The sequence below is a fragment of the Homo sapiens genome, chromosome 2 (genome assembly GCF_000001405.40).
Source record: "Homo sapiens chromosome 2, GRCh38.p14 Primary Assembly".
Lineage (NCBI taxonomy): Eukaryota > Metazoa > Chordata > Mammalia > Primates > Hominidae > Homo > Homo sapiens.
In genome coordinates this window covers 33,011,620-33,038,803 of record NC_000002.12, presented here as the reverse complement: position 1 = coordinate 33,038,803, position 27,184 = coordinate 33,011,620, and the positions used below count along the sequence as shown (strand labels likewise).

Here is a 27,184-nt window from a genome sequence, read left to right as displayed (position 1 = left end):
ACAAGGAAAAGAACATCTGAGTCTTTCCAAAGACTCAAGCGTATAGTCATTCAACAGTGCTATGGGTTCCTTGCAGCACAGGAAACTTTATGGTCTAGCCTCCAAATATTTTCTACTTCTCAGAACTCGAACTCTTTAAAATAAATTAACTAGGATCTCTAATTCTGGCAAAACAGAGGATAAGATGTCCAGAGAAAATTTGCCAGGATAAAACAACTAAGATTGCTGGACAAAATATAAAATATGGCTGAGATGTCAAGAAAGTAAGAGAAATCTTCACAGGCCAGGAACGACCAGAGAGCATGAATCCAGGGAAATGAGTTGGCTCCAGAACAGGAATTTTCCCTGGAGGGGCATCTGCCATTTCTGGATGCCTAGATTACAGGTTTTAACATGCTTCATGGGGCACAGAGACAAAGCTTGGTGCTGCATAAGGTAAAAGATTAGATCAGAAACCCTCGTGTTAAAACTTTCTGCAGGGGAAACCAAAAAACCAAACACTGCACTGCTGAGAGAACAGGAGGAGTCGCATCTGTCTTAGTTTGGGCTTTGGGTAAACACGAAAACAAGCAACAGCATAAATCTCAGGTGAGAATTCCTAACCCACAAGTTCGCCTTTATGTTGGTTTGGCATTCAAATTAAAAAGTATCTGAGTGATCAAAACAATAATAACCCCAACATTTAATTAAAAGCAACCTGAATGGGTAGTACCCCACTAGGAGACTTGTTAAAAGCAGACACAAGTGCTCTCCTCTGTAGGAATCCTCCTTAAAACAGGATCTTGGCTAGGTGCGGTGGCTCATGCCCTGTAAGCCCAGCACCTTGGGAGGCCAAGGCAGGGGGACTGCTTGAGTTCGGGAGTTGAAGACCAACCTAGGCAACATAATGACACCTCATCTCTCCAAAAAATTTTAAAAATTAGCTGGCTATGGTGGCACACACCTGTAACTCCAGTTACTTGGGTGGCTGAGGTGGGAGAATTGCTTAAGCCCAGCAGGTCAAGGCTGCAGTGAGCCATGGTCATGCCACGGCACTCTAGCCTGAGCGACAGAGTGAGGCCTTTTCTCAAAAAAATAAATAAAATAAAAACTATATCTTCAGGAATTCTAGAAATAAAATTCCAATGAATACTCACAATCAGAAATCACAAAATGAACAAGGAAACAAGCCAGAATCAGAGGAAAAATAAAAGTGCCAAATCAGTCCAGTAACAACTGTAGATTATTAAGACTGCAACTATAAGATACACAATGTATATTTAATATGTAGAAAGAGGTCAAAAATATGACTAAATAATAAGACAACATACACTAAGGAAATTTGAAAAGAGTCAAATAGAACTTTCAGAGATTAAAAAATAAATAACACTTGAAAAGATGACAGTGGGTATAACAGAATAGCAGATTAATAAACTAGAAGAAATCAGCCAGAACCCAGCACAAGAGACACAGATGATTATTACACCTTCCAAGACTTACTACACAATTGCAGCACTTTCAGTAGCATGGCACTGACTTAAGGATACTCAAAAGACCAACACAGTAGGATAGAGGATGGAGAAACAGACTTACATATTTAGAAACTTGAATGAAACATATATGATATGGTAGTTTTTTATAATTTTTTTTATGAGAGGGACAGGGGGAGAATTAGTCAATAAATAGTGCTAAGACAATAAGTTAGCCATATGGAAAAAAAATCACACATACTCAAAAATCATTTCCAGGTACATTACAGGAAATGTGAAAGAAAAAGCTTTTAGAAGAAAATCTAGAAAAATATAGCAATGAGATAGAAATGGATCCCATTTTATAAAGAAAGCATGATCAATGTAACTACTCTGGACAAGAGGCTTTTAAGCATTTTTTGACGAGTTCACTGTAAGAAAGCCATTTTACATAGCAGTGTGTGTTCCAAAAACAAAAGTTTCATGAAACAACACCTACCCTTAATATGAGGGAAGCATTTTGATATTTTTCTATTGCATGCTAAAAAAGCTTTTTAAACTATGCAACAGAAGACTTGTAGAAAAATGTTCATCACGAGGCTGGGCACAGTGTCTCACGCCTGTAATCCCAGCACTTTGGGAAGACAAGGTGGGTGGATCAACTGAGGTCAGGAGTACAAGACCAGACTGGCCAACATGGTGAAACCCCGTCTCTACTAAAAATACAAAACTTAGCCAGACATGGTGGCACACACCTGTAATCCCAGCTACTTGGGAGGCTAAGGCAGGAGAATAGCTTGAACCCAGGAGGCGGAGGTTGCAGTGAGCTGAGATTGCCCCACTGCACTCCAGCCTGGGTGACAGAGTGAGACTCCGTCTCAAAAAAAGAAAAAAAAAAACGTTCATCATGACCCTGTTGTAACAGCAAAACACTAAAAACAACCCAGTGTTCATTATCAGTAGAAATGATAAATTGTAGTATACTGACATAATGGGCTACTGTAAAAAGTAAAAGAATCCCCAGCTTTAATCAGTGGTTCTCAAAGTGCAGACCCCTCCAGCAGCATTCAGCATTGGCACCACCTGCGAGTTTGTCAGCCACCCAAATTCTCCACCCCTCCCCAGACCCACCAAATCGGAAACTCTGAGGTGGGGCCCAACAAGCCGTATTTTATCTAGCAAGCCCTCCACCGGCGATTCTGATTCATGCTCCAGTTTGAGAGCCACTGTTACAGAAGAATGTCAAAAACACCTTGAGCAAGAAAAGCAAGTCTCAGAAGAATACAAACAATATGACATTTGTTTAAAAGTCAAAAACTAAACAGCACAGTATCCAGATATACCTAAAAATGTGGTAACACTATAAAGAAAAGCAGGAAATAACTGATATAAATTATTTTCTGGGAAAAAAGGATAAAGGAATTAACAAGGACCACGTAAGAGCCTCTAAGATAATGACAACAGTGTTTTTATTTCTTCAGCTACGTAGTGGGTACAACAGTTTGGGTTTTTTTATTACTATCCTTTAAAATATGTGTGTTGTAAATTATAATCATTATGAACGATCTCTTTTCTAAAAAGAAAAAATGCTGAACTGAGGTTGAGAATGTCAAGTCGTGAACGTAGAATTATACCCCATGTGAACTCAATTCTAACAAACGGCCTACAAAAAATTGAGTACACAGCAAGTGTTAAATATTTGTAGACTATTAAATGTTTACAGTGATTTGATATGCTTTTGCATTCTTCTCCATTCTTCCGAATTTCTCACAATGCATAAAACAACCCAAAAAGAATTTTTTATCTAGAAAGTATGAAGAAATACAGTAGACTATAAAATAATTTGGTGTCCACCTCACCATCACTCCCATTTCAAGCTTGCTCTCTTTTCCGGATTTAAAATTCAAATCCTGACTACACAGTTTAGCCTATGAAAAGATAATGGTCTTCTATTCTGGTCTCAAAATGTGTTTTTCCTCTCTAATTTTTCAAAACACTTTCATGGAACTCTACGCAGTTTTGCTTACTTCTCATCTCCATATCAAGGTATATAGCCAGTTAGAATTTTTTAAATTAAAAGCAATTTATGTGTCATTTAGAACTAAGTAAAACTACACAAGAAAATCTCTTATAAATCATACAAGGACTGCTTTAAGAAACTCATTTGTTTCTAATTTATTTTCTCCATTAGCAACGTGTTGCTAAAATCACAAGAGAATAGAACATTGCTCATATGAATTAATTCCTATCCATCGGCAACAAGGGGAACCAAGGGTCGGCTACGGCATCCAAAGAAAGGCAATTATGCACAATGAGCAAAGAAGGTGGTTCGAGGTTGCACTGCCAAGAAATGACATATTCCAGTGGAGTTAAACCCCCCTCTTCAAATTTTGGCATTCTGCGGTATAAAAATAAAACTGAAGAACATTGAAAAGCAAAGCTTGCCACCTGCTGCCCACTGGCATAATCGTAAATGTTCAAATTGCATCCTTTTTTTTTTATTTAAACCCTTCTACTAATTGATTGGCATGGATATTTCCATATTGCGTATTTATTCATTTTCACCAGTCTCTGAGAGGAAATGTCAGCCCCTCAAATTTTTAACCAGATGCTATTTCAAACCCTATACATAATCAGCTATAACCAGTGCACCTCTAACCAGAAAGCAAACCCAACTTCCAAATGGTTATATATGTTGTGTACTGTATATAATAAATCCACCAAAATGCAGTTGTGCTCATTATAGTATCCAGACCAGGGAAGAATTCCTTTGAAAATGTGCCAGCTCTGTCCTATGCTTCCAGGCCTGTCATCATTCTAGATGATATGGAATACAAAACCCATTTTCTGATCCTTATAGATTTTAAAATCCAAACATTAATAGCTTAACTCCCTTCAGCTAGTTTATAAATAGTTGATATACATTCACACTACAAAATTTCAAGTAGAAGCCCAGCTAAAACACCTCAAAGATCAGCTTTAAACATTTAAACTTAAATACCTTAATTATATTAATACCGACAAGTGTTTTCATGGGTTCTGAAAATGTTTTCAGTATTCTTTTTCATTTGCACTTATTCTAAAGAAGTCTGAGAAATAAATGCATTTTAGCCTTTTTTTTTTTTTTAGAACAACAATCCTTCAAGTCTCGTCTCTTTCTTCTAACTCTGTAGATTTGCGTATCCATGCCATCATTCCCTCAAAAACAATCCAGAACGCTGCTAAGGAGAAAGTGAAACTTTGAATTAAAGAAGAAAATGCCATCTGAGAGAAAGATGCCCTAACAGCCAGTCACAAACCCAATTAGGACGGTGAATGATGCAAACACGACTCCATCTGCTCTCCTGTCCCCCAGGGAGCCGGGGAGGGGGTTAGGGCTGTGGCCTCTTGAGAGGCTTATATGGCAAACAGTCTCATCACATCACATCGATAACTCCTGAGGCGCTTTGAAATACAACTTTAAAGGCTTCTGCCTGCTGAAACTGTCCATACGCAAAATAGCACCAAAGCTAGTTGAAGTTTTTTCAAGTTTTGTCTGGGAACTACTATAAAGCAGACAATAAAAAATAATTCATTTTCAAGACAGATGGCACCATAATGTTGCACTATTTTCTAGTGTGCATTTTTTCCTAAACACTAGAGGCAGCGTCTCCATACAAAAGAAAGTCCATCCAGCTGCAGCCAGTTAGCTTTCAGATTGCTGTTTCTGTAGAACATCACACACATTAAAAAAAAAAAAAAGTCCCTTTTTTCCCCCACCATAGTCAGCTCAACCCTTTCTTCTAAAACTCTACAGGAGCTATTATTTCATGCATTATTATTGTCAGTGTTTCTGATCTCTTTCCCGCTTGCATCTGATTGTTCACACCTGAGAACACCTAGAAGTGGTTTGTACTTGTAAGGTTAAAGTTTAGTTAGATCTTCCTACATGCTGTCTGCAATTCAGAAGGGTGCCTGGTGCACACAGGTAATGATACAGTAAGTTAATCCTTTAATTAATTAAATCCAGGCCCATTAACACCAGAACTGGGCTTTGACTGAACAGATAAAATATCTGACTTAATATCAACAGAGGGGACAGTATTACATGTTTTGTCCTATGAAAATATAGCTCTCTACTAAAAATGAAAAAAAAAACCACTTACACTAGAAATGATGGAAGAAACATTCCAGTTATCAATTATTCATTGAAACTAAAGACTATTTAGTTTGGCTGCTAGCACACTGCCTGGCACACAGTAAATATTCAACAAATACATGTGAAATTGAAAGTCCCAATCATTTCTTTTGGTTTCTTGTCAAAGACTTCCTAATGGAGCTTGATCAAATCCTTGTTTTTCATGAACATCCTAAATTATTTGAACATAAAGCTGAGCTTGATCAAATCCTTGTTTTTTATGAACATCCTAAATTAATCTGAACATAAAGCTGATATGGATATGTAAGTTTTTTAAAAGAAGTATAGCATTTCCTCACTAGGTATGAAAAGCATTTCTGATTCTGTGAAAGGCAATTACCATTATTTTTATCAAGCAGCATGTTACTACACTACTTCACAAAGCAAATCACAAAAACTTTCCTAGCAACTTTAGACCTTAATAGCTAAATTAAATGAATATAAGTCTGAAACAAAAACTGCTTTATTAATAGTATCAAATACATATGCAATTTTTGTGTCATACTGTTACTTATTTTATATTATTTTAAATAATAACTAATGAGAATGCAGTCCAGCTAGGAAGACATTTAGAGCCTAACAACCTGTTGGTTATTATACATCTGTGTGTGATTACCCAAGGTTCCTTTCCAGTTCACCAATACAGGATAATCAAGATGTAGGACTTCTGTCACCTAAAGGAGGAGGAATATAGGTGAGTGGATCACTCCTAGTGTAGCAAGAAAAACACAGAGAAGATACACGGAAGTTGATATCGATAGGGGTAGAGATAACAAAAAGTAGTTATGGCAAAGCTATAAAGCCAACAAAGATAAAGGTAGAAAACTCTTGAACATTTGAAACAGGAAAAAAGACCTTGATTATTCTACAGAGCATGATGTGTTAGTTTGATCAACACAGAAGGAAATCAAATCTGGTTTTGATTATGGGTTGATGAATTTGAGTCTAGGGATAGAGTGTAATAAGGAACAGGAAGCCTTCAATGATATCCCCTACTTTCCTGTTCCTAAAGAGGATAAGATTACATATCATTCCATTTAACATAGGTAGAGAGAGAGATCAACATTAGACTACACATAATTCCTTAACCCGAATCCAAAGGAATTATTTTCTTGACTGGCAGTCTGAATCCTTCCTGTTTTAAAGGGAATCAGATCCCTCTCCTCTCAAGTCCCTGTGCAAGACAGACACTCCACAGGGCCAGCTCCTCTAGGCCTCCCTCTCTCTCATCTGCCCAGCAGCCAGCCTCCCAGGCCTTCCCTCACACTCTCTTAGCACCCCACCTGACCTGGCTTTCCAGGGTGAGCCTGACACTTCTTCAGTGACTATCAGAGCCATCTTCATATTCCTCGGAGCCCTACACAGAGCTCCTCTGTCTGACTGTCAAGGCTTTCCATAATTGGACCTGCCCACTCAATCTCATTTCCTGCTATTCTTCAATCCCCACAAAGAGATCAATTCCCCAACAGGAGAATCATTCCCACCCTATCGTCCACCTGTTATTTATTTAAAGGCCAGACTCTCCTTCACTTTTCCAAGTCCTTCCAACTCTGGTCAATGTTCCTTTAGTCCAGTCCTCCAGCCCCTGCCAATCTCCCCCTTCCTTACTCGCCATTAGAATTTATACTATGCACCACATAGTTTAGCAGCTTATTAGGTATTATGCTATGTTATTCAGTATTTTGCAGACACATTAGCCTGATCCCTCCAATTGGAGTACCTAGAACAGTAGTTGGTATGTGGATGGCACTCAGTAAATATCTGCTGATGGAATGAATGAATCAACTATTGAGAATCTGTGTTCTGGGGGCCAGGAGGACTGAGATTCTATCTTCACTATGGTGAACCAGAGATAACGCAACCAGTTAGAAATGCACAGAGAACTTGGAAAGTTATAGATGGTTCAGTAGTATATTACGATTTATGTCTGTGTAAGTCAATAAGCCTCTCAGAAGACCAAAGAATTCTGAAATAAATTACCCAGTCAATGAGTAACAGATTGTATTCTTGTCCTCATGGACAAGGGGGGATTTTTTACAATCCAATTTAAGACGTTTCTTCCAAATTTGAGCATAAAAAAAACCAGAGTACTAATAATATTTTTTGCATAAAAGTACCTTCCCTTGGAGAATTCTTAAATATTTGATAAAAACAATCTTTAATATGAAAAGAGCTCTTAGAAATTAAAGAAAATTATAAGCACATGTAACAGAAAAGGGTGTGAAGATGTTAGTTATCCACATAAAAAATATGAAGGACTTATAAAAATGTGGAAAATGTTCAACCTCACTAAAAAAAACTAAGAAACACAAAATTGCTTCATAAGGTGATAAGATCACACTTCATAAGACCATTCAAAGCCACTAAGACTTCACAGACAGCAATTTATTTATTAAAGACTCATTTGACAGAAGCCGCATTTAGTCTGCTTAAAATATTAAAGGAAAATAATCTAATAAACATAATGCCACTGACTTACATATTTACTTTCACATAAAAGTCACTAAATTAAATTAATACAAAGCAGCACGGCAACAAAGAAATTAATCAAGGAGACTGTGAAGTGTTTCAACTTTATGTAAAGCATTTCAAATATGCACACTAAATTTTCCAACTGTTTAGACTCACAGGTCACCTTTCACCTTTCAAGACGTTAAAGCAATTAAGGTGTGAAATGCCTGCCTCACTACACGGAAATGGTTTTTTCTGAATTTTTTTTAGCTCCTTCAAAATAGCTTCATTAAGCCAGGAGATAAATAGGAGCCACAGGAATGAAAGAGGAATGGAGAGGGAGAGAAAAGAGCTTCATAAATGGGGCAGGGGAAAATGGTTGCTTGTGCCCAGGGGGTAAGGAATGGGAATTGGGAGAGTGTTTCCTTTCAAATTTCTTTTCTTGGAGTGAAGTGCATCCTAATGTCAAAATGTCTATGTCTTCTTCCCGTCTGAGTTAAGAACATCCTTCCTAGAAATATAATTAGGAAGGATTAGCTGCTGCATAAAGAGGCTTTGAACAAATTAAGGAAGACTGATGCCTCACTTCGAATGCTGTCCATCAAACCTCCAAATACCAGCACTTGGCAAAACACCAACGTCAGGCAAAGAAACAAAAGGCAGTGCTCTGAAAGCACTGAAACTCTCGGAAAGAGAGTTTTTTAAAAAATAAATTCTGTGTCTACAGTAGACAGTCCAGCTAATTCTAAACATTTGGGAACAGCTCTCTATATTGGTAACTGACTGTAATGAATAGGTTGTCACATTTCCTTCATGAAACAGAATATGTTTTAGGTGAATCTTTATTGTTTTGAAAATAAACAATTTCTGGTCAAACAACAGTGGTTTACTTGAGAATTCATAAAATAACTACAATTTTTCACTTCTTTATGCCTTTTATTTGAATTTGGGGCTTCAAAAATACTGTGCAAAGTATTTTTCCACTATTTTGTTAAGCGGAGTCAGACACTGACATGTAAACGATGCAAGGAGAACATGGAACAAAAGGTCAGGAAGCCTGGGTTCAAGTCATGACTCTGCTGCAGCCCTGCTGAGTGACTGTGGGCCAGGCATTCAGACACTTGCAGTTATAAAACTTTATGGTTTGTACCGGTTGAAAATTCTGGAAAGTTGGAAGGGAAAGTTGTCCCTAATTTTTGTTCTCTTTTTCATTATGCTCAAATAATAACTTTCTTTTTTTTTTCTTCTTTTGAGATGGAGTCTCACTCTGTTGCCCATGCTGGAGCGCAGTGGCGCAATCTCAGCCCACTGCAACCTCCACCTCTCGGGTTCAAGAGATGCCCCTGCCTCTGCCTCCTGAGTAGCTGGGATTACAGGCACGCATCACCACGCCCAACTAATTTTTGTATTTTTAGTAGAGACGGGGTTTCACCATGTTGGGCAGGCTGTTCTTGCACTCCTGACCTCAGGTGATCCACCTGCCTCAGCCTCCCAAAGTGCTGTGATGACAGGTGTGAGCCATCACGCCCGGACAAATAATAACTAGCAAGTGCCCAGGATAAATTCTATTCAAAGATACTAATATTGATTAAATATTTCTTCTGTGTTTTGGTGAGAGCTAACTCCAATTACTCACACTACTCTAGAACTGTATGATCTCTAAGTGAAAAATAATTAAAGTTTGTCTGAATGTCCCTGTTTGCTTTCTACCAGCACTTGAGCCAAACTTGTGTCAAGGTTCATATCAATATTTAATTGAATATTCATGAGTACTAGGAAATTTCAAGCCCATAAACTGGATTTATAGTACCAGTTTCAGTAATTTTCCCAAGAGGCTGGCTGCCTGGGCTTTGCCGTCAGCCTTTTCCTTGTTAACATGCCTTATGTCTATCACAGCCATTCTAAGTGCAAGGAGCAAGAAGATTCAACACTGCAAGGTCAAGAACATAAGACACAGAAAATTAAATATGGTCTGATCAATGAAAACCCTTATGACATCCAGAGATATACAAGAAGTGGGTCCCATCATTTGCTACAAGTACCGTAAAGAATGGGACTTTATGGTACTTGAATAGCTGAACTACTTACTGGCCTGGGATGGTGACCAGGATGATTAAGTAAAGTTTTGCTAATTCCAATCAGTGACTTTTTGAATTGGTTTCCTGAGATACAGCTGGGATTACAGGCGCTCGCCACTATGCCCAGCTAATTTTTGTATTTTTAGTAGAGACAGGGTTTCACCATGTTGACCAGGCTGGTCTTCAACTCCTGACCTCATGATCTGCCCACCTCAGCCTCCCAAAGTGCAGGGATTACAGGTGTGAGCCACCACGCTAGGCCTCTCACATGGTTTTGAAGAGATTAAATGAGACAACACTCAAAAAGTACTCAGAATTGTGTCTGGCACAGAATAATTGGTCATATTAACTATTATTATTACATAGCACCAAAACATTATCCTGATTTATTTCAATTGTATTAGGAAGCAAACTCTATCCCAACACCTCCCATTTTTAGATACAAACTTTGAGTTTCCACCAGACCCAGCGGTGTGAGCAGAAGTGTGAGGCAGTGACCTCCCCAACTCTGTCCTTGTCTCTCCCACCTCCATGCCATGGTCTACTCTTCTTCCGAACTCAGTCTCAGGAGGAAAAAATTAAGAGCTGCTCACTTCCAGCTCCTCAACACACTACCTCACCTCACCATTTTCCCCATGTGTCTGTTTTTCTCAAACAACAAAATAGGTCTGACCAATAGCTAATGATATGATCAAACTTTACATGGTTTTCATGGATTAGGAAGTCCTTCTCAAACTACCATACTGCTATATCCAGTTGGGCTTGGTGATTATTTCAAAAAGGTCTTATTGTAGAATTTCTTTTTCTTTTTTCTGAGATGGAGTCTTGCTCTGTCGCCAGACTGGAGTGCAGTGGTGCGATCTCAGCTCACTGCAACCTCCACCTCCCGGGTTCAAGCGATTCTCCTGCCTCTGCCTCCTGAGTAGCTGGGACTACAGGCGCATGCCACCACGCCCCGCTAATTTTTGTATTTTTTTTAGTAGAGAAGGGGTTTCACCATCTTGGCCAGATGGTCTTGATCTCTTGACCTCATGATCCAGCTGCCTAGGCCTCCAAAAGTGCTGGGATTACAGGTGTGAGCTACTGCGCCCGGCCTTCTTCTAGAATTTTCACATATACATACCTATACAGCAGTATTAAGAACCAAAAAATGGTCAAAGGGTATAAAATGTTAGTTACGTGGGATGAGTAAGTTACAGAGATCTAACAAAGAGCATGGTGACTATAGTAAATAATACTGTATACTGTATACTGGTAATTTGCTAAGAGAGTAGACCTTCAACATTCTCACCACAAACCAAAAATGGTAACTATGTGGGATAAGAGATATGTTAATTAGCTTGATTGTGGTAATCGTTTTACAATGTGTACATATTTGAAAATATCATGTATACTGTAAATACATACAATTTTTATTTGTCAATTATACCTTAGTCAATCTGGGATAAAAAGAGCCAAAAATTGAAAAAAATCCAAACATCCATCAAGAGCAGAATAAATAATGAATTGTGGTACACTCACATGATGTGGTAAGCATTGGTGGTATAATATAAATGAGCAAGCTATAGTCACACAACTGCATAGATGAATCTCAGACATAACACTGAGTGAAAAAAAACACACCGTATTATTTACATACAGTTCAAACACAGGCAGAACTGATCTCTGGCATTGGAAGTTAAGAGAGTAGCTCCCTCCGGTGAGGAGGAAGATGGCTGAGTCTAAGAACAAGGGGCTTTGTGGTGCTGGAAATGTTCTATTTAATGTTGATGGCACTTACATGAATATGTCACTTTGGGATCATCACTAGACTGTACACTTTTGACTTTTGTACTTTTCTGTATGTAATTTCAATTTAACATCTTTTTAAGTTTAAATAAATATGTATAACACGATAAAATCAGTGATTGGTTCAAATTTTTAGTTCTCATCCCATTCCCCAGGTGTCATGAATTGAGCACTGAGCACCTTGGAGTGAGTTCCTTTTGTTCAACTTTCGTTCAATGCCTTTTTTTTCCACATAATAAAGTAGGATCAAAACCTTCAACTACCTCACAGACTCGTTGGGCAGACCACATACCATAAGGAATGGAAAATACTCTGCAAAATGTTCAGGGCTTTACAAAGGCAAATGCTATTATTCCAAGAGAGAAGGGTACGTCCTGCAATATAAGCATTCGTGAAACAATCCATAGACAAGGATTTAGACATTATTAACACTTATTTTCTCTAGGCAAAACTCTAAATATATATATATTAAGCAAACATTGATTGGAGCCTTTCTGTGTACCTCTGTGGACAAAGAGATCAAAGACTGTGTTGTGTCATGACAATGTTAAGTACAGGAAAGCACACAAGAGAAACCTGGGAGAGAGTTGGTGGGGTTGAGGTGGGGGTTCAATATTGAGCAAGGTCCCCTCCTACAGTCTGAGAGATCGTTTAAGGAAATCATCCGTTTGACTACTGACCAATTCCTTGGATCCTTTAATAAGTTCAGACAAGGTCCCAGTAATAACTATCAGTACTGCAACAAGCTTGAACTCTTTCCCCAAAGTGTTTAACTATTGGCATAGCTTTATAATGGGATTTTTTTTCCTTTACTACAAATAAAGAGAATGAGCTTACGTTTTATTGTTACTATTGTCAATTAGGAGGTGGCATACTTCAAGGAATATCCCAGAAGTTCTTCCATCCTTGGAGATATCATAGCATTAGGTTTTTGAAGACTCAGGACCACACTCAGGACTATAAGAAACTTCATCTTTTTATTACTCTTTATTACAGAAAATTTCAAAAATATAAAAAGAATTTTGTAAGAAACCCCTATGTACCCATCATCAAGCTTCAATAATTACCACCTCAAGCCAATCTTATTACCTCTATACCTCAACCCACTGGATTATTCTGAATAAAATCTCATATATCATATCATTTCATCTGTAAATACTTTAACATGATTCTCCTCCTTATGAACATAACTACAATGCCATCATCACAGCTCCCAAAATCAACAATCATTCATTTATATCATCAAATTACCAATGTTAGCATGTTCATGATTGTTCTATAAATCGTCATTGTTATCTTTTTCTTTTATTAGCAGTTTGTTTGAAACAGGATAGAAACATAATCAAAATACTGTGATTGGTTAATGTGTTTCTTAAGCCTTGTTTAAGCTACGAGGCGTCCTTCCATTACTTTTTTCTCTATTTTGTGTCTTTTTGGAATTGTTTTGTTGAAATCTTAGTCAGTAGCTTGGTTTTCAAGCAACCTTTAGAGCTTTATATTACCTTATATTACCGTTAATCTTCATATTTATCAAGTTCTAATTAAATCATATCCTAAATATGGTTATTTTTAAATATGTCCACGAATTCTTTGATATTTCTCCATTTAAGCAGTGCAGCATACTTCTACCCCCTCTGAGTGAGGACTAGACTTAGCAACTCACTACTAATCAGTACAATAAGGTAAGCGTGAGGGTGTGGCATCCTTAAGACCAAGACCATAAAGGCACTGTGGCCTTCTCCTCGCTCTCCCTAATCTAGGATCACTCACTCTGGGAGAAGCTTATGGCCACATTGTGAGGACACTCAGGCTGCTCTACAGAGAGGTCCACATAGAGAGGAAGTGAAGCTTTCTGCCAACAGCCAGTGCCAGGGCTAAGGCCTCCTGCCAACAGCCATGAAAGTGAGCCATCTTGGCAGTGGATTCCCCAGCCCCAGTCGAGCCTTCAGATGACTGCCACCCCTGCTGACTGCTTGGCTGCAGCCCCTGGATTCCTGACACAGACTGTCAGTCAATAAATGCATGTTATTTTAGGTTGCTAAGTTTTGGGGTGATTTGTTACACAGCCAAAGAAAACTAATATGCCAGGCTACCTAGCCTCACATCATTGCCTCCCCTGGATACACCCTTCTCCTCCAGTTGTATGTATCTGAATCCAACCATCTTTTCACAGACACCTTCTCTAAGGAGCCATCCCTGGACTCCACTGCACTAACACTCCAAAATCTGGAAACAACTGCTCTTTCCTTTGATTTCCTAAGGAACTTTATTTGTATTTGGTTCTAAATCAAGTTGCCTAAAACCAATTCAGCCAAAGGTAAAACCAATTCATCTAATCCCCACCTGCCTAAAATATGTGCTTTTAACACTACAATTTTACCAAACTAGCTGTTCCTCAAACATCTCAGGCACACTCCTGCCTCAAAGCCTCTGCCTCACCCCTACATATCTGCAGGGTTCATGCACTTATCGCAGGCCTTTGCTTAAATGCCTCTCAGTAGGGTCTTCCCTGGCAGCCTATTTAAAACTGCCACACCCCTCACTCTTCCCCACCACACACCAACCCAGCATGTCCTATCTGCTAATGCAGTTTTATTTTCTCCACAGCACTTATGAATATCTAATGTGTATTTTAATTATGTCATTTATCAACTGTCTCTCCCTCTCTAAACTGTAAGTTCCAAGAAAGCAGACATTTTATGTAGTTGCCTAGTGTTATCTATCCTTAGCTCCCTGAACTGTGCCCTCATACATAAAATATGCTCCATAAAAACTTGTTGAATAAGTGATCAAGATGATAGCACTTCATGTGACACACAATGAACGTAACACTAAACATTTTGGCATGTTAGACATATTTATGTATATAGTTGAATACTTTAAGGAGGCTTAATCAATCTCCTCCTTTACTGGTTAAACACAAAACCTGAAATATCCTAAAATAGGCAATCTGAAAGATAACTTAAGGATTGTAACATTTCTCAAAAGTAGCCAAAGTGGGCCTATCACATGTGATTCCTTGGCCATTTGATTAAACATGACTCACTGTGATTATGTCATAACCTAAATTAATCAAAGGGCTAATTCTATAGCTTTGTATAGTTTCCTTTGTATAGCTCATTTGTCATTTCAAAATCTCCTTAAGAGCAGGACTGGATCTTGTACATCTTAATCTTCTCTGCAGGGACTAGATAATGGGGCAAACTATATAGTTTATTAATATCAGGATTGATGGCACCCAAGGCCATCTCTTCTCATCTCTTCTCTTTACTTAAAAGTGCACCAGTAGGCACACCCATATATACATGCCTATAACAATGCTACCATAAAAAAGCATCTTCATTCAGCAGATGAAGTCTCCAAAGCAAACTGCCTAATGACTTTATTTTACCAAAGCTGAGTCAGAGCTGAAACCTTAGCCTCCTCTTTGACTCACAACATTCTTGTCTAAAGTACACCGCGGCTACCAAAAGGAAGGAAAAAAAATAGACTGTTCCTTTATCTGACATCCGACATACGGTTCTTACTAACAATCCATATATATACATCATAGAGGGTCAAATTCTAACAGTGGATGGTGATATTGAAGATGAATAATGTTGCTTGTAAATTACTTTACAGTTTATGTAAGTCATAATGCTAGAAAAAACTAATTGCAATTCACAGTAATCTGACTCTTGATCGCCAAAGCATAGTTCAACACAGAATTGTTTTTTGTTTTTAATATCCAAAACAATGTTGGAAGGGAGATGTCTAGCTATGATATAATCAAAGCTTTATACCGTTCCAAGGACACACAGTTATATTCATGTTCTGGCACACACAAAAAAAGCACTACTATCCTTTAGAGAAAAAGTTAGCAAACTACAGTTCATGGGCCAAATCCAGCCCACAGCCTGCTTTCCTATGGCCCAGAAGTTAAGGATAACTTTTATGTTTTTTAATGGTTGAGAAAAAAATTTAAAAAAGAATAATACTTCATGACCTGTGAAATTTATATGAAATTCAAATTTCAATGTCCATAAAGTTTTATTAGAACACAGTCACACTCATTAATTCATACACTGTCTATGGCTGCTTTTGTGCTACCATGGCAGAACTGAGTAGATGCAACAGAAACCGTATGTCCCACAAAGCTAAAAATATTTACTATCTGTCCCTTTACAGAAAATTTTTGCCAACTCCTTCCTTCAGGGCATGGATGCTGAAACGTGACTGCCTCTGTTTAAATTGTAATACTGTCACTTAGTAACTGTGGGACCTTGAACAAACTATTTAACCACTCTGTACCTCAGTCTTCTCATCTGTAAAATGGGTTTAATAATGTTACCTTCCTTACAGGATCCTTGTGAGCTGTAAGTGAACAATACACAATAAGTGTTTAAAAGAGTACCTGGCACATAGTAAGCCCTTACTAAGTATTAGCTATACCTATCTTACCTTTGCTTCTTGTTGAGGGCTGCAGAATGTGTTTTCCAACAGCAAAGTAGCATTTCAAACTAGTCCCTAAATCTAGCTACCACAATAGAACTGAAGTATTATGAGACAAGAAGAAATTAGAGAATAATGAAGAAAAACAGAAAAAAAAAAAAAAAAGAGGATTGAGGAGGGAATAGGAGAAAAGAAAAAGACCACACTCAGAAGAAACAGTAGGTGGTCTATTCGAAGGGGAAGTAAAAATAAGGATAATTTCATCTATAGCAACAGACTGAATAACTTCTGTGGGCTGACTGGATACTAATCACCATATGGAAGCTGTCTCTGCAGAGGGAAGAAGCATTCTAAATTCCAAGCAAGTGACTTACAAATGAACTGCTACGTCAAGCCCATTTTTAAGTTGGGAACTTCCTGTATTTTACCTTCCTAGACAAATGACAAGTGATAGTTGCAGTACATTCTGCATCTTATTATCCATACAGAATAGCTCATTAAGAGGAGACAATTTGTTTAAGGACCCGGTGCAGCTGAGTGGCTGCTTGTAATGCAACTCAGAGAACGGGGTAATCTTTCTTCTCTGAGTTCTCATTTTGTTCAGAATAGCACTTACTTCCTAACACTAAGAAAAAAAAAACCTTGTTCCCATAAATAGAAAACAAGCTCATTCACCAAAAATGGACCCACACGGCAACTGGGAGATAAACATGGTGTTAACAGAAGGTACACTTAACCTGCTACTGAGGTTGAGAAATTCTCTCTTTGCAAGGACTCCCTTTCATTTGAGTAGTTTCTCTGTGCAAGCTGAGTTCTTACCTTTTCCAGATAACTTTAAAAATAACACTGTTTCTTTTTTTAAATTATTATTTCAAAACTCTATAAAGCAGCTCCCCCCTCAAAAACAGAATTTTTAAACTAACAACTTTATCAAAAATAACTATTTTTATCATTCCCTTCCAGTCTTGATCCCTATAATCCTCATGGTTGCCATGGGTTGTACTTATGGTAAAATTTCCTGCAGAGGCTAAATACACACACCAAATATTTTTAAGAGATTCCATGTGTAAAGCCTAACGTGTAAAGCCTTAAGAAAGGAAAGAAAAACATTATTATCCAAGTGATTTCTGCAAATTGTGCAGGAAAGGGACAGTGATTTAAAGCAAGGCATCCAAGAGAGTAATTAAGATGATCCTTAGCTAAATGAAAGTTCGAAACACTCACTGAGAATGTATCTGCTGGGGGAGTCCCACTGAAGGCTTCGGCTTGAGGGTTAAGGTCATCTGGGCCACAGGGCTGACTCTTGGTAGAGTGTCTGCCTTCTTAGATGAAGTATGCTTTGCTGCTTGCTCAGGAGGGCCCCACGAGGAAGCAGCCCCAGGACTCTGCCCTCCAAAGACTGGTGACGAGGTGTCCTGGGCAGCTATTGTTTCACAGGCTTTGCCCTTGGTCCCTGGTTTACACACACAGAGTTGTGGCCGGAGACACATCCCTCCATTCTGACATGGCGGAACACAGCTAGCTGCAGAAAGAAAACAGAAGGCACAGCTTTGAAGAACAACATTGTAGACTTCCTAATTTTTCCAAAGGGTTAACAGTAGCATCAGGTTGTTTGTTCTCCAATAAAAAACCACACAAATACTCATAAGGAGGAAGGTGGGGCAGTTGGGCGGAGGAGGGGGAAGAGAGCTAATATTAATGGCTTCCTATGTGACAGGCACTGTTCTAAAATATATAAACAAATGTAATCCCCCAGCAACGTGTTTTGTAGATATTTTATTGTGCCCACTTTACAGATGAAAAAACAGAAACAGAGATTAAGTGATTTGTTAAACATTATATAATTATTACTCAGTAGAAGAGCTCGGATTTGAAACCAAGTGAGCCAGCTCCAAAGCTATCATTCTTAACCATTTTACTGCATCTGCCTCCCAGAAATGCATCAGAAAATCCAGGAAAAATCGTAAGAAAATGCTCTGCCATTATTTTAAAGTTATGTTCTGTGGCTTAAATTTAAATATACGCTTAACTTAAAATTTAATTTAAAATTTTTTAAGCCTAAATTTTTTGCCAAGACTTGGCAAAAAACAAAAGTTCAGTCCAATCCCCAACCCCAAAAAGTGCTCTCCTATAGACCTCATGTTGTATAGGCTATCAGATCTTCGAGAGACTGTGTCAGAAATTTAGTCCAATCTACTCTTTGACATACGAGAAAACGAGAAAACCAAGGGCAGAAAGGTTGAGAGTCGCCCAAAACACACCTGCTAGTTTGTATAAAAATCCAGTGTGCTAGGCACCATTCCGAATTTAATAATGAAAGGCAACCAAAAAGAAACAACTTCTTCATCTCCTATTTGCAAGGATGTATGTACTCTGAATCACCACACTCCTGACCAAACAGAGTTTTAAAGTTATCAGTCCAGGCACAGTGGCTCACGCCTGTAAGCCCATCACTTTAGGAGGTCATGGTGGGAGGATCGCTTGAGCCCAGGAGTTTGAGATTAGCCTCAGCAACGTAGTAAGACCCTGTCTCTACCAAAAAAAAAAAAAAAAAAATTTAATTAGCTGGGCATGGTGGCACGCACCTGTAGTCCCAGCTACTCAGGAGGCTCTTGAGCTCAGGAGGTCGAGGCTGCAGTGACCGTGATCACAGCACTACACTCCAGCCTAAGCAACAGAATGTAACCCAATCTCAAAATTAAAAATTTAAAAAGAGAAGTTATCAGGGCTGTGGGTCATTGGTAGAGTAAGTAGGTTTTATGATAGGCAAGGTCCCTTAGAAGTTTAGATGCTACTGGCTGGGCACAGTGGCTCACGCCTGTAATCCTAGCACTTTGGGAGACGGAGCCCGGTGGATCACTTGAGGTCAGGAGTTCGAGACCAGCCTGGTCAAAATAGTGAAACCTCATCTCTACTAAAAATACAAAAACTAGCCGAGTGTGGTGGCAGGGGCCTGTAATCCCAGTTCTCGGAAGGCTGAGGTAGGAGAATCACTTGAACCCAGAGGACAGAGGTTACAGTGAGCCGAGATGGTGCCACACATTGCAGCCTGGATGACAGAGGGAAACTTGGTCTCAAAAAAAAAAAAAAAAAAAAAAAAAAGAAGTGTACATGCTACTGACTTAAGTTTTATTATGTAATGTCATAAGCTTATGGCCATGATTCCTTCAGTCCCTTCTTTATTTGTTCAAATACATTTACTATGCTGCCCTGTTGCTGTCAGCTCACCTTTTACATAAACTGTTGGTCCTGAGGCAGATCACACTATCAAGTCTCCCATAAAGTTCAAAACAAGCTTCAGTCCACAAAGCAATTACAAAATAGACAAGCAAAACGAACAACAGGAGACTCAGTTATGAAGATCCAAAAGACCAAGACCTAAAAGCCTCAAAACCTATTGATTTTCTATAAAAGAGACAAAATAATTTTCCCATCTTCCTACAATATGATGCCTATTCGTTACAGCAAGTAATGATTTTTCTAAAATGGCCCTTGGGTGTCAGAATACCAAGCTGACAAATTTTCAGAAAGTTGGGAAGGATTCTCTAAAAGAAAAAAAAAAATGGAGCCAGCTCCCTAGGTGACCTTGGAGTAAGCCACTTAACCCTGGCCTCTGCACTTGTGTGTGTTTGGGGGTTATGAGGAGGGCAGCAGCGATTTGTTCTAAAATGGTCTCCACAATATGAGAATAAAGGCTGTTCCCACACTCTGCTTCTAGAATTCTAGTTCAAAAGCTCTGTGTTTCTAGAATTCAGAATTCTAACTATCAGAGTTTCCTGACCAACTGAGCAAACTTTGTTGCTATATCTGAGATGCTGTCCTGGGTCCCTGCTCAGCCATGGTTATTTCTGGAATGTCACAGGAATGGGAATGGGATCCACCCAAGAGAACAGAAGTGGCCACAGCAAGGACTGAGCTGGGCTTTCAAAGCTGTGCCTTGGCCTGAGCTCACCACCCAGGCCCTTTCATGTGTGCCTTCTCATCATGCTTTCAATTAGAAACATGTTTCTTTTTAACATCTGAGAATGATTTCCGCTTCTCCTCCCGCCCAAGGTACACTGCAAATGTGTTTTCTACCAGGAAGGCTGTTTGGTGCAAAAGCTGGCACCTAGGGGGAGGCCAAGGACTGACATCCTCCAATGTACCACCAAGAATGAGCCGCAAGAACCTGTTTTAAGGAAGACATGGATGGTTAGCATTTTTTTTTAACTCTTCAAATTTTTCATGTGGTAGGGTAAGGGGGGTGGGGAGACAGTCATAAAAGTTAAAAAAAAAAAACTTTGAACTTACAAATATTTTCTACTGGAAGAAAAGTAAAGAACGTGTTATATAATATTACAGCTATGTATATAATACCTCCCTTTGTAGTACATTTTAAAAGGACAATTAGGAGAATGAAAAGACAATTTTCTCTTCTACCTACCCTACCTAGACTCAGACAGGTGCCCCCTAGAGCACGGAGATGAGGAGGGGCTGGATTGAACTGGAGGAGGACAGATTCCCTAACTCCCAAGAGAAGCCCGTCATCTGACATAAAAAGCAAAACTTGTACTTTGGGAGGCCGAGGTGGGCGGATCACAAGGTCAGGAGATTGAGACCATCCTGGTTAACACGGTGAAACCCCGTCTCTACTAAAAATACAAAAAATTAGCCAGGCGTACTGGTGGGTGCCTTTAGTCCCAGCTACTCGGGAGGCTGAGGCAGAAGAATGGCGTGAACCCAGGAGGCGGAGCTTGCAGTGAGCCGAGATAGCGCCACTGCACTCCAGCCTGGGCGACAGAGCAAGACTCCATCTCAAAAAACAAAACAAAACAAAACAAAACAACTCATGTCCTTCTATCACATTTATCAAGCCCCTTTTCCTACAATATTTGGGCCCATGCAGTAGCAGTTCTTACATGGCAGCAAGCATCAGTGGTTCTCACAGTATGGTGCCCAGGCCGGCAGTATCATCCGGGAAAACTTTGAAACTACATATCCTTGGGCTACCCCAAGCCTGCTAAATCTGAAACTGGAGCCCAGCAATCAGTGACTGCCCTCCAAGCGACGTCGATGCACACTCAGGTTTGAGAATCACTGACACACAACATCTGGAAACAGGTCTTCCAGCAGCAAGTTTCTGAGGACTTATATTTTTATACTTGCAAGCTTTCATGCTGTAATTGCTTTTAGGCTACTGAATTCTTGGCTATGATAAAAGTGTTTTATCTTGCCATTTTTATTGCAATTTTAGATGTCATTTTCCATATCTATACATTGCCAAAAGTCTACACATTTGTCCCCATCTACTTCATGGCCAATGCAAAAATTCATAGCATTTACGTGAAAACTTATTATAACTAAGGTGTTGGACTATGTGGAATATTATAAATATTGTCACAGAAGTACCTTTTATTTTTATTTATTTATTTTTTGAGACATAGTCTTACTCTGTCACCCAGGCTGGAGTGCAGTGGCACGATCTTGACTCACTGCAACTTCTGTCCCTCAGATTCAAGCAATTCTCCTGCCTCAGCCTCCCAAGTAGCTGGGATTACAGGCATGCATGCCCAGCTAATTTTTGTATTTTTAGTAGAGATAGGGTTTCGCCATGTTGGCCAGGCTGGCCTTGAACTCCTGACCTCAGGTGATCCACCCACTTCAGCCTCCCAAAGTGCTAGGATTGCAGGCATGAGCCACTGCCCCCAGCCAGCCAGAAGTACTTTTTAATTTAATTTTATTTTTTTTCCCATCAGTTGATTGCTTTTTCCTGGCCAGCACTGTGCTGTGGTTCAGCTCGATGAGTGGAGGCTGAGTGGAGGCTATATCAAGATCTTATCAGTGGATTGGGCGGTGGTTCTCAGGCTTGGCTGTACATTAGAATCACCTGGGGAACTTTTAAAACTCCCCAAACCCAGGCCTAACTCCAAACAGATTAAATCAGAATCTCTAGCGGGGGAGGGCTCCAGGCTTCAGTACTTTTTTAACTCCCCAGGTGACTGAAATATACAGCCAAGTCTGAAAAGTAGTGGGTTAGGAACAAAAACCTAATCCAGGCTTGCGGACAGACTAGTCTTCTAAAACGCTACTCTTTGAATCATTTTTTTCCCTTTCATTCAAAAACTTTCCACACATTTTAGCTGACCAAGGGTAAATGTTAAGGCCATCTACATCTAACCCAAACCCCCTTTTCCACCCTCACTTCTCACTGGTCTACCCCTGCAGAAGCTCACCCAACCTCTGGGATTCCCACCTCCTTGTCTCTGCACAGAGGGAGCCCTATGCAGGAGCACAGGCCCCTCAATCCAATGAGAACAATTAAAACCTCCAATGCCTTCAAGCCCACCCTTCTCCCACCCTTCTGTATGAAGTCTCTCCCAAATGTCCACTGACAGGGTTTGGTATGAGTCCTACCAAATCTCCTGTTGAATTATAATCCCCAGAGTTGGAGGTGGGGCCTGGTGGGAGGTGACTGGACTATGGGGCAGAGTTCTCATTAATGGGTTAGCACCATCCCATCCATGCCGTTCTTGCAATAGTGAGTGAGTGGGTGATTCTGAGATCTGGTTGTTCAAAAGTGTGTGGCACCTCCCCACTCTCTCTCTTCCTCCTCCTCTGGTCATGTTTTGTGCCTTGCTCCCCATTTGCCTCATGCCATGATTGGAAGTTTCCCGAGGCCTCCCCAGAAGCACAAGCTGCTATGCTTCCTGTACAGCCTGCAGAACCATGAGCCAGTTAAACCTCTTTTCTTTATAAATCGCCCAGTCTCAGGCATTTCTTTATAGCAGTGTGAGAAGTGACTAACAGACCCACCCACCCAGCCCTATCACGACCTTTGTACCATCTGGCTCTTGTCCACTGTCATCATTCACATTCCACATGCTAGTCAACTTCTTACAGTTCTCTCCTATTTGCCAACTAGGTTATAAGCTGTGAGGTCAGTTAAGTGACTTATGCAGAACTTTCTGTAGCCTGGGATAGGAGCCTAAACTTGGTTGACTGACTGATATAAACATAGAGCCACTACTTTCCAAATGATGCTGGGGGATTTAAGGACGTCTATAAAGGAAAGATGGCCAATGGTCTCTTAATTCATTACATGGTAACATCTACACTTGCAGACTTGATTTGCGATTTATTCAATCAAGCAGTCTCCAATCCTTCAAAGCAGATGTTTTTCCATCAAAATTAAATTCAAGTAAACTCTGCAAAGACACAAAGTCTGCAGTGACATTTAACCTTATGTTATAGTTACAGATAGAAACAGGTTCAGAAACCAGATCCAATGTGTTGTAGAGGAACTCTGAAGAGTAGCGACAGTGAAGCAAACTGGTCAAGGTCAAAGAGAAGAGAACATCACAAGGGGCATAACATTTAGGAGGTTATTGTAGGCACTTAGGAGATTGAGTCCAGCCTGTGCAACATAGCAAGACCCCATCTCTTAAAAAAAAAAAAAAGTGGCCAAAACTGCCACCAAGACAGCGATAAACTCAGATAGTGGGCTTGCAGAAAGCCCACTGACATCAAGATCTAGGTGAGCAGGTTAAGCAACAAAACCCTACACCATCCTGGCTACCAGGTTGGTCTTCTGAAAATACTTTCATCATTTGAAACAGTCAAAATTGAGTTAATTCTCAATCTGTGCGCCAAGTACTAAAGAGTCTCAGATGTCTTTCACATTCGTATCTACTCCAGTTTGACAAGCTGATCCTAGAGTTCTTTAAAAGTTCAGTGATTGTATTTTTAGGAAGTAACCCATGCCCTGAAGCTCAGCTTCTACTGTTTTTAATTCTAAAAAAGTAACCCTTAGTTATATTTAAAACTTGTCTCAGTCCACACAGTGCAAACAGTGTGACTCTCTGCCCCTTGCCTTTCTCTCCAAACAAGTTGCAGCATGTCTACCGCATGTGTCCTGGGGAGAAATGTGAGTCTAACTGTGTCTTCTGTGATCAGAGACAGCAGGTGAGAAATTGCTTTGCTGTGTGTGTCTTCACAGTAATTCCCAGCTGCCCTTTGAAGTCATTCAATAACACTAAGTGATATCAGATCACAAGAAATATAGCATGAGGTCACACATTTTAGTCTACTCTGTCTGCTTGCTCCTTGTACCAAATCCAAATAAATGCTGTTGTTTCGTTGTAAATGTCTCTGGGTTAGCCTCCTCCAAAATCCCTAAAGAGAAAAAAAAATTAGCATAACATCCCAATGCCTTTTCTATCCAGTCTCCTGGAATAATGAAGAATTCCACATAATGAAATTTTCTAAATACGTGGACCATGCCCATCAATCACCAATATATTTAATAAATCTTTACAGGTCTTTCATCCTTATGAAAATCTATTTGAAACCTGTGAGGGATGGGTGTTTGCTTTCATTGTTCTCTCTCTTCCCTCTGAGTCAGATCGTCAAGTCACACAAGCATTCTTTCCACCCTATTTTCCTACCCTATTTGCCTTTCTAATCTTACGAGTAACAACTTCACCAACCAGATAGTTGAGCATAGCAAAAATTAAAGGGACTACAAGTCACAAAGGCTGGGTACAGAATCTCATGTTTCATTCAGGAGTTTAATGCCTTTATGTCAAGTACACAGCCCCAGAATTCCCAGCTCCCCAAGAGCTGTGTTCTGGAAGCTTGAAGTTTTCTAAACCTAAGCTCAGCAGGAGTGGTTGTTAACCATGTGATGTAATTTAAAATAGGTGGTCAGCTGGGCCCAAACACACTCTTCCCAATACCGTCAATAGTTGTAAAAGCACTCACAGAATATAACGTAATTAAATCACAAGTCCTGTAATACAAAACAACCAGCAGTTTTCCTGGATTGTTTCTGATCTTATCACTGCCATGTATAACTTTTTTTAATCACAGGCATTCAATGAAAAAAAAGAAAAAGTTAAAATATCTATCTACAGTTTAGTGTATATAAGCATTTAACATTAATTAAAATAGCAAAAGGGAAAAAAATAACCCAGAAAAAAAATTTTTCTGAAAATGCTATTATATAAAAAAAATTAATAAAAGTTGCCTTTAACAAAGGAAGACCAAAATCAAAAAATGAAAAAAAGAACAGAAATAGATAATTTAGACAGAGGGAAATGAAATTAGTAAAGAAACTTATAGGGTAATGTCCAAATTAACAAAGTCATCAAAAGAGATGAACACTAAAACAAGGAGATACATCACGGCTAATTTTTTAGAAAATATAAATATTAGTACTAAGTGCTGCAAAGGAGGTAAGGAATATGGTACAAGCCTTTTTAGAAAGCAGTTTAACAATATGTTTCAAATATTTCAGTAGCCTCATTTTTAGAAATTTATTCTAATAATCAAAAAAAGGAAATAACTGGGCATACATATATGTAGGTGTCCACAGCAGCGCTATTTGTGCCAAGAAAAAATTTAAAAGAACCATAAAGGTTGAGTAGAATATGGTATTAACAGCCATTCAAAATTAGAACTATAAAGTGATACTACCAGCTTTTAAAGCATTGATAAAGTGAATTAAAACACGTTATTTCATTATTCACTGCCATTCACTCCTTAAGCACCTTCTCTAATAGTATAATTTTACTTTGTGCATTCATGCTAGTATATATGTATGATGAGTACATATTTTGAAAAATCTTGGGTTTTACAGACTGTAAACTATTATGCACATATATTGTTATAACTGTTATCTTTAGAGTTCATTCAAAGGAAGACAATACCTTTCTAAATAATCTTTAAATTTGTTTTAATCCCATCCATGTTATCTTTATTCATCCAATTGAGCCCCCTCTTAAATGCCTGCATTGTGCCAAGAACTGCAGACAAAAGATGGAGACAAATTTCTTGCTCTCAAGTAGATCAGAGTCCAATAGGAAAGACACAAGTACAGAAAAAGAATCACCATACAGCTACGTGTCATAATAACAAAGGTGTAGAAAGAGGAACATGGCGGCCTTAATTGGACAATTGGCAAATATTTGTGAGTTATTATATTCAAGGGACCATAAAGGATACAAAGAATTCTTAGAAATGGTTTGTTTCCTTGAGGAGCTACTACCGAGCCTGAGAGAAAATCAAAAAATGTGACTACACACCTCCTTGCCCAAGCTCATCTACTGATGAGCAGACACGTACAAGAGGGAGCTATGCTCTGGGGTCACAGAGATTTGAGTGTGAAGCCCCCCCCACCCCATCCCAGCTCTGTGCCCTTGGGCAAGTGGCCAAGTTTGACTCATGCCTTATTCATTCAACAAAATACTGAGTGACAATTCTATGCTCAATTTTGCACCAGGCACTGTCATACGCCCTGTGGCTAGAACTGGAAACAGAGATGATGTTTTTACATCATCTCTGCCCCTTGGCATTCACAACCCAGCCAGGGAGACCCCACAGGGAAAGTAATTATAACTATTACCAGTCTTTCGGAAAGAGAAGAGGAGTGTCTGATGGGGGGTGATCACAGTGGGGGTCAGGGAGTTAGGAAAGACCTCCCTGAGACCATGAATTTAACCAGGAGACCTGAAATCGGAGAGAAATAAATAACACACGGACCAGGCCAAATGTCAGTGTTAAAATCTGCCACAGAGCAGCAAAATGGGAATAGACCCCACTGATTCAGGATTTATGTTTCATAAGCGATCAGGTTTGGGAGGATAAATTATAATATATTCTTAAATATATGTGTCTAGTATGCAGGTCCAGTATGATTTAGTATAATCACCAGAGACATCATCCTGTAAATCAGGAACAAAACACTAATGCCCACTGTACTAGCTTGCCAGGCTGCCATAACAAAGTACCACAGAGTCAGGGGCTTAAATAACAGAGATTTATTCTTTCACAAT

General features: G+C 39.3%; 1 protein-coding gene across 38 annotated transcripts in view, besides 1 other annotated feature; it reads right to left on the bottom strand.

The window, feature by feature from the left end:
- LTBP1 (latent transforming growth factor beta binding protein 1) overlaps nucleotides 1-27,184 on the bottom strand; it is a 452,557-nt gene that overhangs the window by 360,706 nt on the left and 64,667 nt on the right. For all 38 annotated transcript variants that reach the window (XM_011532853.3, XM_011532857.3, XM_011532861.3 and 35 more), the window contains exon 3: nucleotides 17,598-17,895. In XM_011532853.3, the coding sequence (XP_011531155.1) occupies nucleotides 17,598-17,895 (298 nt within the window). The remainder of the gene's footprint in view (nucleotides 1-17,597; nucleotides 17,896-27,184) is intronic.
- Nucleotides 23,068-23,362: an enhancer, noted in NCBI's record as "tiled region #2981; HepG2 Activating DNase matched - State 8:EnhW". NCBI's record gives its function as "activates a minimal TATA promoter and a strong SV40 promoter by Sharpr-MPRA in HepG2 cells {active_cell/tissue: HepG2}" and the evidence as "EXISTENCE:reporter gene assay evidence [ECO:0000049][PMID:27701403]".